Below are 15,916 nucleotides of genomic sequence, written 5' to 3' on the forward strand. Positions count from 1 at the left end.
TCTAAAATAGTTCAATTTTGGTTCTAGGGAAAGTGCAACACAATAGAGAGCCTCTGAAATTTTTATATCCACCTTTTACTTTCCCAAATCCTTGGGTTCTAACCCATTAGAAATGAGTGCTTTAAATTTTTAAAGTCATTTGTATATTTATAACAATTCTATTACTGTTTTCAAAAACATTTTGGAAAATATTTATAGGCAAGATTTGATCATTATTTCCAGTGAAATCACATTCAAAAATACACATAGCTTAATGAAATTCAGTCATTTCAAGAAATATTGACAATTTTCACTATGTTGCAGTTTAATAATCAGTAACAGTTAAGATGTACCTATTTCTTAAGATATGAGTATTCCTCAGCATAGTAGCTAATTGATCAAATATAACTTTGGTTACTAACATTTATTGAAAGAGAAATATAATTTCTGCTTTTGTAAAATCCAAATGGTCCCTGACTAGCTTTGTTGATAAATTCAAAGCTACTTAGAATAATTGAGTTGATAGTATCTGTATAACTGTTTAGTATCATGAACTCTAGACTGTAAAATTTTTGAACATTAGTGGACATTTTTTAAAGAAAAACAGCTTATGGTATTTAATAGTCTTCTGTGTGCTCTAAGAAACCTGATAATTATATTAGTTTATTATGTACCAGAGCTTAGAAGTACACAAATAACATTCTAACTTAAGTTTCACATTTTACAAATAAAAAAGTGAGCAGCAGATAAGAAAGTGTGTGAAATAAATTGTGAAGTAATGATAATGTATTTCAAAATGAGTATGTTCTCATAAGTGTTTACATATCTAATAATTTGTACAAAACTCAGTTTTATTTGTGTTGCTATACCTGGTATAGCAATTAAACGCTACGAAAAAACATTCTGGTGTATTTTCCCTCCATATGTTTATGTTTATGTCTCATTTTACCTTTACCTGCATGATGAATAAAAAAAAAAAAACTTAAATGTGACTAACCTATAGAATTAATTTTTTTAATTGTATTGGCAAAGTATAAATGAACTACTGAATAATAAATATACTATAAAAGTAAACTACTGAATCACTATCGTTAGCAAATTTTTAAAAACATTTTAGGAATTTGAAAGTAGAAAACTTGAAATTTGCATGCTTTTAAAAATTAAAATAAAATATTATTATACAAAGCTCACAACATAAAAGCATGTAATTAATATAAATAGAATAAATTTTTTGATGTTTTAAAATAAGATGAATGCATAACAAAAATTATTACATATTATAAAGCTTATTTTATATATATAATTTGTATATATATTGAATATAATATAATATAGAATTACAATAATTATATAAATTATAATATATGAATATTAAAGATGTTGATATCTATTATATAACAATATTGTATAATATATGAAGAAATTTCATATTATGAAACAATGATATATTGTTTAGACTTTGTAATTTATAATGAGTCCTTACCTGACCAGAGCCTGCATTTTCACAAACATAAGTCTCATAGTATTGAGAGAACTCAGGAGCATGATCATTGATGTTAAGAACTTGCACATACAGTGGGATCGAAGAGATCTGTTCTATATTGTCTGCAATTTGAATATATATAATAAAAATCTAACATATTTTAATATGTCTTTAGAAGAGACATCATTAAAATTACATTAGAGGCTACGTGGTGTATTTTTATTTTACTTGAAAAAAGCAATCTGAGGACAGGATATCTATATGATTCACCTACTTATCAACAATAGATCCTAGAAAAAAATTCCATGCTCAATATATTCAAACCAAGCAATATTTATTGAGTGCATTGTATTTGCCATGGGCTGTAATAAGTGATGAGAAAAAGCAGTAAAAAGATAAAGTAAAATAAGGGTATACGGAGAGCTTGCAAGAGTCCAGGAACCATTTAAAGTTTTGTATTAACTCATTTAATTTTGATCAATATATGGATTATTATCCCCCCAATTTTACGGATAAAAAATTGATAAACCATTTAGTTTCAAAAATTACAGTTAAATTACTTGTGTAAGGTTATAGCTGCAGTGCTATAACAAAAAAAATTCTGTGAACCACTGAAATTTAGGGCGTAGCTTTTAAAAACAAATAATTAGAATCTAAATATATTTTAAAGTAAAATAGTTATAATAAAATCTAAATAAAGTTTTTATATAAACATTGAATTGAGAAGATTTTCTAAGTGAGCCAAGAAATCCAAAAAACATAATGAGAGAAAATTGTGGTTAAAACATTTAAATCTTTCAAATTGATATAAAAAAGACATTTCAGAAAAAAGTATGAAGTAGGAATTCACAGGAGAGAAAATTCGATTTATCTTATAGCAGACTTTCTCACTGCTGTCACTATTAATATTTTATACTGGATAATTCTTAGTTTTGGGAGATTCTCCTGTGCATTGTAGGATGCTTAGTGGCATCCCTGACTTCTATTCCCCGAATGTCTGCAGCATCCCTCCCATCCCAGTGTGTCAATCCAAACTGTATTCAGACATTGTCAATGTGCCCTGGTTGAAATTGGGGGCAGAAGTGTGGAGCCAAATGGCCTGTAGTGGAGACACGCCGCGTTATCATAATGTTCACACAGCCTCTCACCACAGGTAAGAAGAATGATGGTTTAGCCCATGCCATTTTTGTCATATGCGATAGAACAGCACCCAGTGATAGCTGAGTGCTGAAAAATAACAATGTAAACCGACTCTAGCAATGGATAATGAAATTTAAACTACACATATCTGTGACCCAATCTGTTAAACTTAAGCTACAGTCTAAGGTATCAGTATTTGAGTAAATGATCCGATTAAATACATTCCAGAGTTATTTGCATTACATCCAAATTATATAAACGACTCAAATGTACAACAAAAAAGAATTGGGGAGAATAAATTACAACTGAACTATGATATTATGTGGATTTATTAAAAATTTGTGAGTCTGGCCAAGCATGGTAACTCACACCTCTAAATCCCAGCGCTTTGGAAGGCCAAGGCAGGAGGATAACTTGAACTCAGGAGTTTGAGAGCAGCCTGAGCAATATAGTGAGACCTCATCTCTACTAAAAATCCAAAAAAATTAGCTGAGTGTAGTAGTGTACATTGTAGTCTCAGCTACTTGGGAGGCTGAGGTGGGAGAATCGCTTGAGCAGGAGGTTGTGGCAGCAGTGAGCTGTGATCGGGCTACTGCACTCCAGCCTGGGCTACAGAGTGAAACCCTGACTCAGATAAAAGAGTCAATGTAACACATTTTTATTGTGAGCTCTAAAACTGGATGACTTGAGTTTGAATCTTGTTTCTCAATTTGAGAAAAATACTTAACCAGAATGCCTCAGTTGGCATTCTGAAAAATGGGTGTGATAGTAGTACCTGCCTTATAGGGTTGTTGTTAAGATTAAACATATACATAAAGCAATTGCATAAATTACATGAAGCAATTACACAAATTGGTTAATATACATAAGGCAATTAAGAGTACTTAGTACATAACTGAACAATGAATGTTAAATATTATTGTTTTGTTGCATCTACTAACCAGACATGTATTTTGTGAACTGAAAAAAGTAAGTTGCAGCTATTATATTGTGTAGGTTTATTGTTTTTAATCTTTCTCTCTCTCAGGCTGTAGTGCAGTGGCAGGATCCCAGCTCACTGCAACCTCCACCTCCTAGGCTCAAGCGATTCTCCTGCCTCAGCCTCCCTAGTAGCTGAAACTACAGGCACATGCCACCAGGACTGGCTAATTTTCGTATTTTTAGTAGAGACAGGCTTTTGCCATGTTGGCAACGGTGATCACAAACTCCTGACCCCAGGTTATCCACCCACCTTGGCCTCCTAAAGTGCTGGAATTACAGGCTTAAGTCATCATACAGGGCCTCTCTTTTTCATAAAAAAAAAAGAAAGCTATAGGAAAGGTGCATACAATTAAAGGGTATAGGAGTGGGATTCTTTAGTTTGTTTTAGTGTTTTTATTTAAAATATATGTACTATTTGCAATGATAATTTGAAAGAACAAAACAAATTAAAAATTAGAGGCCTTGTACTTGTTGAAAGCAAGGGAAAATATTTTTTCTTTCCTTCCTTTTCTCAGAGCATTCATACACACACACACACACACACACACACACACAGAGAAAGAGAGAGAGAGAGGGAAAAAAAAAGCTTTGTATGTAAGTTTTTTCTTTGTCCCTTTGAAGCGTATGGAAATCTTTCAAAAGTTCAACAAGTTTCTTGGAAGCTTTAGGATCCAGGATTGTATTTATCAAGTAATGGTGACCATCTCTTTGAAATGTAATCTTCAAGGAATACAGCATCCCTATATCCTAGATGTGGGGAAGGATAGGAGACTCATTTTAGCAACGATCTTGTTCTAAGTTGTAGAACTACCTCTTGTCATAAAGACATGAAAAGTTAAGTTGTCCTTTGGATAAAACCACTTAGCAAATACAGGCGGTCACTCCAACTACCCAGTGAATATAGAATGAATTCTATGTGACAAATAGTGCTAAGTCCTCATACTTGAATATCTAGATAATATTTAACTTGAGAACATGTATATATTGGATTGCACCTGCTTGACCACATAAAAAGGTGAGATTTCTTTCCATTTTGGCAATCTCTTAGATTTCCTATGATGCAGATCACATTGTGTTTTAATGCTTTCCAGTAATAAAATTTTTCTCTCTGTTCTACCTTTGAGGGGAGGTTTTCTGGGCTGGGATGAGATTTTGCTTAAAATTGAATTTTCCCAACAATAACAGTTACAATTAAGATAGAAATTGTAATTTTCAATTAACTAAAAATTAAAATTTCTAGGATTTATTACACACACACACACACACACACACACATCCATGGCCTTTAAGAAATACAGCAACTATTAGTATTTATCATTTTGAGACTTTTCTCCATTGTGTGACATTTAGGATGAAAATAAATTAATGGAACATTTAAAAATGAAAAGGTATTTCTAAAGATTTCAAGAAGAAATTAACCAGAAAATTTAGGTTCGTATTTGTTATGGTTTCAGCGCATACATCATCACAGAATATCTTTTTGCTTAAATAATTAAATTGTATAATGTAATTCAGTTGTGAATAAACTGACAGAAAATTAATAAGAAATTCATAATGTTTTTATCTTTGTGTTCCTAAACTTTGCTTGAAATTAAGTTAAATTAAACCTTTGGTATTACTGCACAAAATGTATATAAAACTTCACAGCTTCACCTTAAAATAGTAGTTTTATTCACTTAGCTAGCATACTGATAAATAGCATTGTGCTTAATTTGGGAAGCTTTCCAGAAAAGAGACTAAGCACAACGAACTTCATTTGCTGGAAAAAAAAAATTTTTAAATGGAACATCTCTTTCCTATAATCAGTATAATTGCTATGGTGAAAGCTTTTCAAGGTAGTTAGCAAATGCAGCTAGATGATTTTTAAAACAGTTTTATGTAATGCCCTGTTTTCCACCAGTAGGTGGTTTGTTTATATTGCTATTGAAGCTTAAATGGTCAAGCCTAATTATTTTTGGTTCAATATTGATTTCACAGTAGTAAAAAAATGGCAGTTACACATATTTTCCCCAAATAGATCTAAAATGGGCTTAATGATGTAGAATTTTTTAAAATGTTAGAGAAAGAAAAAAAATGAAAATTTGTTATCCAGTGTTATAAAAGCTTGTTCCAACAAGTTTTTCCTTAAAATGAAAAAAAAAAATTGTTCTCAGAAATACACAATGAATAAAAGCTGCATTTAAAATAAACATCTTTGCATTTTCTGACACGAGAAGCCTTGACATTTCCTCTGTTACAGCGGGCATTTATTCCATTGTAACATTTGCCTCCTTTTATGGTTTAGTTAAATGGAACCTTGAAAACCCAGATTCAAGCTCTCCTACAGTGTTTCCATAGAACTGTTCATTGTATCGCAAATAATATGCGGAGATGCCTTCCACTCCACCATATCACCTGCCATCTGCCTGATAAAGTAAGGAAAAGAGAGATATCTGCTCCCTGCCTCAACAAAGAGTGAAGAAAGGAAACAGGATTATTAAAATTCTATGTAAAATCAGCTATAAGAAAAGATGCATCTGAGAATATTTTATATTTGTAATTTTAATACTTTACAATTCTAAATCTATTGACTAAGTAATGGAAATGACTTCGATATTTTATATTGTGTTATATTTATTTCTTTAAGCTTTAATAAATATAATTGTATGAATAATGGATTCATGATTTTAAGGACAATATCCAAGTGGTAAATCAGAAAAATTTACAACCCGAAAACGAAATCATCCACCTAAATAAACAAGCAGAATTTCAGGTGAATTTCATTTGTATTTTGTTGTTTCCTCAATTTATTCTTGTATGGAAAATTATTTACTGTTATAATTAGAAAATAGTTTAGAAGGTATTTAGTGGTAAGCATATAAATAAAAACTAATAAAATACGCAAGTACACACATTTACATTGAATGTCATTTAAATAATTCCAACAACATTTTAAAGTAGCCTTGTCCCCATGTATAGAAATTTGTAATTATTTACAAAATATGGCAAACAACTGTATTGGATTTCAAATGAGTACTTACATTTTTCTGTGGCTGTAATACTTAGGTTGTACCAAGCACTGATTTCACGATCCAGTGAGTTACTTGTAGTGATTGTACCATTATCATTGATATTGAACACTTTGCTCCTAGTAATAGAATACCTGAACCAAAAGGAAAGTATACCTTAATATTTTTATTCTATCTGCATAACAGTGTTAGATAATACTCTTTAAGCAATAAGACATCTTATTCAATGCATGCTCTACATAGCCAATATATAATACCGAACAACTTTTAAAACAGTATATTCCTGTATTTAAGATTCAACTCAGTGGAGATAGAAAAAAAGACGTAACATGACTTTAGATTTAAATTGATGGATGCTAAATCTAAAATTAATGATTGTGAATCTTTTTTTCCTATCAAATAAATTAAAATATATCTTCAGCCTAGACGAGTATTGATCTCTTTCCTATGTCACAGGTGTTGCTTGCGAATCTGTTCATTTTACTACAACTACTTGGCTTGATATTTAACAAATGTTTTTGTTTGTTTAAAAAGTAAATTTGATAAAAAGTAAAGTCTATATAGTAGATAGAATTTTAATTCTTTTGGGAAACCTGAAAGACTTCTGAAATCTGGAATCTGGAATCAGGAATCCAAAATATTTATATATATATATATATAAACATATATATAATACATTATATATGATATATATTTTACATTTTATAACACATGACATATTTTATTACATATATAACATATTTGTAATATTTAATACATATATGCTTTATTCTATATTACATATAGAAAATATGTAATACATAATACATATATGTTTTATGCATATATATGTAATATATGATACATATGTTTTATTATATATTACATACAATATATGTATGTATATATGTATGTGATATATTACATCACATGTATTTATTTTATATTATATATTTTTACATATAATATATATGTTTTATATATATACACACATATAAAACAAAAGTAAAATACAGTAGTTCTAATGTGCTTTTAGATTGTGCATGGAAGAAAGCCAAGTTACAAATTTCTCCCAAGGGAAAAAAAAAACTGAAAAATGATCTCCACCTCCACAATGAAAGAAGACTTCGAAATACTCAGCATGTCTCATCTATGTGGAAACAATTAATAATAAAAATTAAAGAGCAATAATAACTAGGGTTCAATAATGGCTTCTCATTGCATGTATATTCCTGAAGACTTTGATGAGATATCAAGGAAGTTTACCATAATTATATGGCAAAGATGAGAATATTTTAATTTTGAGTTCAAGTATTTCCAAAAACATTATGCTACTTTGTAGCTAGGTATTCAGATAAGGACTCAATAGAAATCACGAGGAATTAAGCTTTAGGGGAGTTCAGTTTTAACTGTACTCCATTTAAAATATTTATAAGTATTTTCCCTAAATATCCCCAAGTGGTTGCCTTTCACACCTAATAGAATTGTTGGAAAAATTATACAGTGTTTTAACAGTTGTTATTTTGAATTAAACATCTAATCCTATTTCTGTAAAATGTCATTGCACATAAAGCCCATTTAAAGTTTGACAGGATGTTATAGTCTTTAGTAGTTTAATTCACATCTGTTAGAATTTAGGAAGAAGAGCCACATAAACAATAAATTGGTTCAGTTCCCATTAATTAATTAAAACAGAAGTAAAAATATATGTAGCCCCTCTAGGATGTGATATAAGCAGTGATGTGTAATATGTATCATTTTTCTTAACCCCTTTTAGAACCACAAATTCTCGTTATGTAAGTTTTCTTTTCCCCCACTCCACCTTCACTGGACAAAATTTGTTTGGCTTTGAGGTAAGTTTTAGTTAAATTTTACATATATGTAAAATACATATATATATTTTTCCCATTTTTAAACTAGGGAGACAAACATCAGAAAATTCATAAATATGTAAACAGCTGACTTATTTAGATATGTACCATCATGACCTCAGCAAAATTTAAAATTTGGAATTTTCCCACTAATCCAATTAAAAACATTTTACAATAATTTTGGACTTACAGAAATGTTGCAAAAACAGCACACAGCATTTCTACATGCTCTTCACTCAGCTTTTTCTAATGTTAAAATCTTATATAAACTTTAATCTGTTTAATAAATTAATCGCTATAATTTAATTAATCAAACTACAAACTATAGTTGGATTTCACTGTTTTTTTTCCACTCATATTCTTCTTTTACAATCCAATGTAGAATCCAATACGGCCTTTCATTTTCCTGCGTCCTTAGTCTCCTCCACGATTCCTCAATGTTCTTGTCTCTCAAGACCTTGATGCTATTGAAGAGTATTGGTCAATTATTTTAAAGAGCGTCTCTCAATTTGGGTTTGTCTGATGCTTTCTCATGATTAGACTAAGGTTACATATTTTTGGCAGGAATAACACAGACATGATATACTTTCTTAGGCTATCATATCAGGGGAACATGATGTTCATCATATCTCATGAATGGTGATATTAACATTGAGAACTCGAATAGGTGATGACGACCCCATTTCTCTGGGGTAAAATTGCTATTTTTTTCTTCTGTAATTCATAAGGATCTCAGGAAACTATTTTAAAATGTTCTGGTTTCTCAAACATTTATCCACTAATTTTCAGTATCCATAGAGGAATAATGTTAACATTTTTTAATACTTTCTTTCTGGAACCACAAGATGCTCCAGGATGATCTTGTCGTTTCCTTACAACAGCTCTGGATTCCAGTTATCAGATGAGTTGCAGCATCTTTGATTGGAGAGTAGTATTAGAAAGCAAGATCTAGGTATTAAGAGTTCCCATTGCTTCTTGAGTTTCATTGTTTTTAGGTCCTTTGAGCAGACATCAGCAGGAAATATATGTATGTATACCCATGCGTACAAACACATCTATATTTATTTCCATGTAATTCCTTCTGTCTGTATATATATTAAGAAGGCATTCGTGCATCATACCTCAGATTTCAATCCAGTGTGACACCTTCATGTAACTTTTCTCATTTTTTATTTGTAATCATTTCTTTTGACAATAATGCATCTTAGTCTTACTATCTACAGCATATTTACTTATGTGTTCAATCCCAATATACATGTAGAGTAACACTGCAATCCCTAAATAGTATCCATGTAAAAAATATATTCACTATGTAGAGTACATTTCTTCTGAACAGCTATTTTTTTCTCTAGATTTAGAATTGAAATACTCTCTTCCAAAATTACTTAGGTTGTATTTTCCTAATTCCTCTCCTTTTGATTATGTTATTTGTCTATAATATAATAAAGTACATTTGCAATAGTTTGCCTTCAATTTTGGGGATATCTCCAAAGTCCTATTTGATTTTTTTCCAGAGTTTACACTAATTAGTATTTTCATCTATATCTTGGAGAATTCTCTGAACTTGGACAAAAGAATAGTCATGTGTCCGCCTTCACATAATGACACAGAACAATTTTATCACCCTCCTTTCCTTTGTCATATCTTTTTAGTTTAGGTACCACAGGGTTTATTTTTGTTTGTTCATTTTTTTTAATCCACTCACCTATTGAAGGATATTTGAGTCAATTCCAGTTATTGGAGATCATGTATAAAGCTGCCATAAATGCTTGCATACAGGTTTTCATGTCAAAATAAATACACTTTCTAGGCCTGCTGCAACAAAACACCACAAACTGGGTGGCTGAAAACGATAAATTAACTCTATTAGATTTATTAAAATCAAAGTATCAACAGGGTCATGCTTCCTTTGAAGCCTGTAGGGGTGAATCCTTCCTTCCTGTTTCTAGCTTCCAGTGATTTCCGGCAGTCCTTGCTAGTCTTCCACTTGTAGACGCATCGCTCTGATCTCTGCTTCGGTTGTCACATGGCAGTCCTCTCCCAGTGTCTGTCTTCTTATAAGGACACCAGCCATTTTGGATTAAAAACATACCTGCTCAGGTATGACCTTATCTTAACTAGTTACCTCCACAATTACTCTATTTCTTAACAAGGCCACATTCGGGTGTACTGGATGTTAGGACTCAACATGTCTCTTTAGGACACAACTCAACCCAAAACACAAAGTTTCCTTTATTCCTGGGTAAATGCTTGGAAGAGGGATTGCTGGGTGTTGCGGTCAATATAAGTTTAATTTATAATAATCTTGTATCTTTCTGCCTTGATAAACTCACATATTACTGGGCATTTTTGTGAATTTCCTGGAATTATCTAGGCAATAATCAAGTCATCTGCAAATAAAGAAAACTATATTATTTCTCTCCAGCTTGTATGTTTTTATTTCTTTTTCTCACTTACTGCATGGCCAGGACTTCCAATATTATAGATTTGGACTAGTGAAAGAGTACATTCCTACCTTGTTTCCAATCTTAGGAAAAAAGCACATAATATTCCATAATTAAGTATAATATTAGCTGCATTCTTTTGTAGATACTCTGTATCTGTTTAAGAATCTTCTATTCATATTGTGCTGATTGTGCTGATAGTTTTTATAATAAGTTAATTTTGAATATTGTCAAATGTTTTTTCTTTGTCTATTGAGATGTTATATGGCTTTTCTTTTTTAATCTCTCAATATGGTGGTTTATATGAAACTATTTTAATATATAGACACATCCTTGCATTCCTGGGTGCACTCCAGTTGATAAGGATATACTTTCCTTTTCACAAATAGCTCAAATTACTATTATTGTAAAGAATTTTCATATTTGTTTATGAGGGATATTGATCTGTAGTTTTCTTTGCTTGTTACGTATGGTAGGATATATCAGTGGCATCAATTTTTACTGGAACTGCTCTTTTTTTATGAAGCTATTTAACTGACTTTTTGGTGGTATATATATGCTTGTGTGTATGCATGTGTATGTATACATATTTATGAGGTTGTACATATATGGTTGTTTGTAAATGTATACGTGTGTGTGTGTGTATGCTAAGGTTATTTATCTTTTAATATCTTTGGATTCTCTCAAGAACTTCCTCTAAATGTATAGGCATAGCATTGTTCAAAGTAGTCCCTATAATCTTTTTAATGTCTGTGGGATCAATATGTGTGCTCCCTTTTTCACTTTGGTAATAATAATTTTTGTCTTCTCTCTCTCTCTCTCTCTGTTTGCCCCTTGGCCTTTCTCGATAGAGATTAATAAACTTTAGCAATATTTTGAAAGAATCTGCTACTGGCTTCATTATATTACTCCGTTGCTTTCAGTTTCACTGCTTGTGATCTAATCTTTTTATTTCCTTTTTGTCCTGCTTGCTTTGCTTTTTATTTGCTCTTTTTTTTCTAACAGGAAATAATACACCATCTTTCTCATACTTACAAAATATTTCAAAGTTTGACTTTAGACTTAATTTGAAAGGAAACTTCAATAACGTCCAAAAAGTAAATCATACCCATTGATACCAAAAGAGTAATCCCTATATCTGAAGTCCAAAAGAATAAGGCAATTGTCTTAGTCATCACAGACAGCTATTAAAAATTACCATAGACTGGGCAGCTTATAAACAACTGATATTTATTTGTCACATTTCTAGAGGCTGGAAGTATGAGATTATGATGCCAGCATGATTGGCTTCTGACAAGAGCACTCTTTCAGTTGCAGACTGTTGACTTCTGTGTCCTTACAGCCAGAGAGAGGCTTGAGAGAGCTATCTGGGTTCCACTTTAAGGGCACTAATCCCATTCATTAGGGCTCCACCTGTGTCACTTGATGCCTTATAAGACCCACCTTCTCGTACCCACCTAATACCATTTCATTGAGATTTAGGATTTCAAAATGGGACCCACCTTGTAATACCATTTCACTGGCATTTCAGATTTCAAATATGAATTTTGAGGGACGTAAACATTTAGACTTCTGAAATAATACATAGTCTTAGTGATAAAATAAAAATTTTAAGAATAATTTCTTATGAAGTTCTTAATAATTTTATGGTAGTAATTTTATTACAGATTGTTTGGGCTCCTCTAATTTTTACCATACAAGGCTCCTTAAAACAATTCTATCATCTCACTTTCAAGTCTAAATATTAAATTTTTCCATTATTTCTGTGCCCCATTTTTTAAAAATTGACATGTAGTTTGTTATTATAATTCATATAAAGGTAGATCTTGCTCCTCAAGCTTTTATGACCTCAACTAAAGCAAGAGTATTTCGTTACACCAGTTTATTTACCCCACCCAAGACGTGATGAAACTGAGTTTGGGAATTTCCATGCTTTACAGAAACAGCAGGTGATTCTTACTTAGTAGGAAAAACTAATATGAGTTGAATGAATTGGGGCTAATTTACTATGTTTAATATGTGTTAGTGTTTCTCCCACAACAATGAGACATCCCTAAGGCTAAAATACAATATCCTAATATTTTTTCTGGTTTTCATAGCTCTTACCATGCAGTGAGTATTAAAGAAGAGATATTATCAAATTAAAACTCAAATTGAAATCATTTTGCATTTTATGTTCAAATATTTTGGGGATCTTTTGCTTACAAAGAAAAAAGAGATAAATAAAGAAAACCAAAAAGAAGCCTCCTGAAATGTGCTGAAGTGGGTATTTTCATAAGCAACTGATTTTGTTTTTATGATGTATTTTGAATGTTTGTTAAATCAAGCTATATCATATGAAAAAAATCAACAATATCAACAACAAAAACTGCTGTATCCTCAGTGATCCTAACATATGTATGAAAAGCAATATTATTTAAAAGACACTTTTAAATGAAAGAACATCTGTCAAATCATTAAAACGTGTTTTTTGATGGATACAAGTTATTTTAAAAAGTAATAATTGCCAGTATAAAGGTGGAAGTCATTAGCTAAAATATTTTCAGATTGAAGTAAGTAGACACCAATGGTGATACTATAAAATACAAAACCTCTTAATATTTGGTTGTACCTTAGGTTTTTCTTCATATATATGTAGCATTTTCACATGTAGTAAGCATGCAATTCTTCATTGTGTATTATTGTGCTTTAAAATGTATGCAGTGGTATTACCTATGCATCACAAGCATCATGAATTATAATTTACTCACTTGTACTCCTAAAATTAACAGTTTTCAATACTTTATTACTATAAATGATAACATATGAATATCTTAATCATCAAAGCATTTTTTAACATTCCATATTATTTAGTGTTCCCTGAAGAACAATGAATAGGTATACAGATACATTTTTTAAAGTAAAAAATTGATATGCACTTATACAATCACTAAAATGTCTATGACTAATTAAGAACTACATATGCGTATCAGAAGGCAACATTTTATGAACTGGAACTATAATGGAAAAGTGGGAACATTTCTTGGTATCAAAAATTAAATTGAGCTTTTTCATTGAGCTACTGCAAGACCTTCACAGAGCCAAGGAGCAGCTAGCATTTTAATTAATATATGAAGGTTTCTGGAAAATAGGTGAGTAAGGAAAGGTGTTGGAGAAATCATTACGTAACAAGCTTTGGTTTTTTATGCCCAACCAGACTATACCTCAACTACTGAAACAAACAAATAAACAAAATATAAAACAAAAGCAAAATAAATTATAACATAGTAACTGAAAATAACAGACTATTTTAATAGATGGCAAATATCTGTTTAATTGTAATACAAGAATAGATTTCTAACCCTTTGAACTCCTTTAAGTGGTATCCTGTAAAACACAGGTTCCCAACCCCCAAGGCCATGAACAGCAGGCCATGAACCTGTCCATGGCCTGTAGGTGAGGGCAGGCGAGCCAGCCTTACTGTCTGAGCTCCGCCTCTTCTCATATCCACGGCAGCATTAGATTGTCATAGGAGCATGAATCCTGTTGTGAACTGTGCATGTGAAGTATCTAGGTTGAGACCTCCTTATGAGAATCCAATGCCAGATAAACTGAGGCAGAACAGTTTTATTCTGAAACCATTCCCCTTCACCCCCCCGACCTTGGAAAAATTGTCTTCCACCGAACTGGTTCCTGGTGGCAGAAAGGTTGAGGACCACTGCTATAAAAGCTTTCTCAATTTTTGAATATCATTTCAAGTAAATAGTATTTAAATAAGCCACTTTTTTGTTGTCGTTGAGACGGAGTCTCGCTTTGTCACCCAGGCCGGAGTGCAGTGGTGCAATCTTGGCTCACTGCAAGCTCTGCCTCCTGGGTTCACGCCATTCTCCTGCCTCAGCCTCCTGAGTAGCTGGGACTACAGGTGCCCGCCGCCACGCCTGGCTAATTTTGTTTTGTATTTTTAGTAGAGACGGGGTTTCACATGTTAGCCAGGATGGTCTCGATCTCCTGACCTCGTGATCCGCCCGCCTCGGCCTCCCAAAGTGCTGGGATTACAGGCGTGAGCCACCGCGCGCTGCCTTAAATAAGCCACATTTTGATCAGCTTTGTTTCAGCTCTAATTGGGGCTTTTTAAAAAACGATTGTTTTCCTCTTATCTCCTTTCCCCAATTAAGAGGGAATATAATGCACTGAATTTTAATTGGTAATTGCCTCCTTCTTGCACGTGTTTGAAATCACCAATTTTACTGCATCTTAACCGACACTGAGGTTCCCTATTTTGCTTAAATTGTTACAAATTAATTAAGACATACAGAAATATAGATACAGATATAACCTTGTTTAAATTTGCACGCAGGCTAGGGGCGGTGGCTCAAGCCTGTAATGCCAGCATTTTGGGAGGCCGAGGCCGGTGGATCACGAGGTCAGGAGTTCGAGACCAGCCTGGACAATGTGATGAAACCCCGTCTCTACTAAAAATACAAAAATTAGCTGGGCGTGGTGGCGCATGCCTATAGTCCCAGCTACTAGGGAGGCTGAGGCAGAAGACTCGCTTGAACCTGGGAAGCAGAGGTGGCAATGAGCTGAGATTGCGCCACTGTACTCGAGCCTAGAAGACAGAGTGAGACTCCCTCTCAATTAAAAAAAAGATTGCATGCAATTTTATTTTTAATCTATTTTATATTTACTTATTTATTAATGCAAAACTGACCTTACAGACATACCTGATAGGAGATTTCCTATTGTCTGGGTCTGTGGCAGACACCACGCCTACAAATGATCCCTGTGGGGTTTCTTCAAAAACTTCAAATACATAATATGGAAGGAGGAAAAGAGGAGGCTCATCAACATCTTCCACCTGGATCTTAATGAAAGTGGTGGAAGCCTCAGTGTGGTACTTCATGAGCTGCTCAGGAACATGATGGTTTTTAACTTTTGCTCTAATACCGTAGTGGTTCTGGTGCTCAAAATCCACTTTCTGCAAAGAAACACAGTATACACAAAAGAAATGGCTTTAGTAACCCAAGATACTATTTAGAAAAAAGGTTTTAC

The 15,916-nt window shown here is 32.4% G+C and overlaps 1 protein-coding gene across 7 annotated transcripts in view; it reads right to left on the minus strand.

Moving 5' to 3' along the window:
* Positions 1-15,916, minus strand: part of CDH19 (cadherin 19) — a 103,008-nt gene that overhangs the window by 27,300 nt on the left and 59,792 nt on the right. For 5 of the 7 annotated variants that reach the window (NR_073130.2, NM_001271028.2, NM_021153.4 and 2 more), the window contains 3 exons: positions 15,589-15,842; positions 6,604-6,725; positions 1,463-1,584 (listed from right to left, as the gene is read on the minus strand). Coding sequence is in view for 6 of the 7 variants with exons in the window: in NM_001271028.2 (NP_001257957.1) it covers positions 1,463-1,584; positions 6,604-6,725; positions 15,589-15,842 (498 nt within the window). In the remaining variant the exon portion in view is untranslated. Of the gene's footprint in view, positions 1-1,462; positions 1,585-1,779; positions 4,331-6,603; positions 6,726-15,588; positions 15,843-15,916 lie in introns of those variants that run through there. The other 2 variants (XM_011525932.2, XM_047437485.1) reach the window with 1 other exon arrangement.

This window comes from Homo sapiens, chromosome 18, assembly GCF_000001405.40.
Source record: "Homo sapiens chromosome 18, GRCh38.p14 Primary Assembly".
Lineage (NCBI taxonomy): Eukaryota > Metazoa > Chordata > Mammalia > Primates > Hominidae > Homo > Homo sapiens.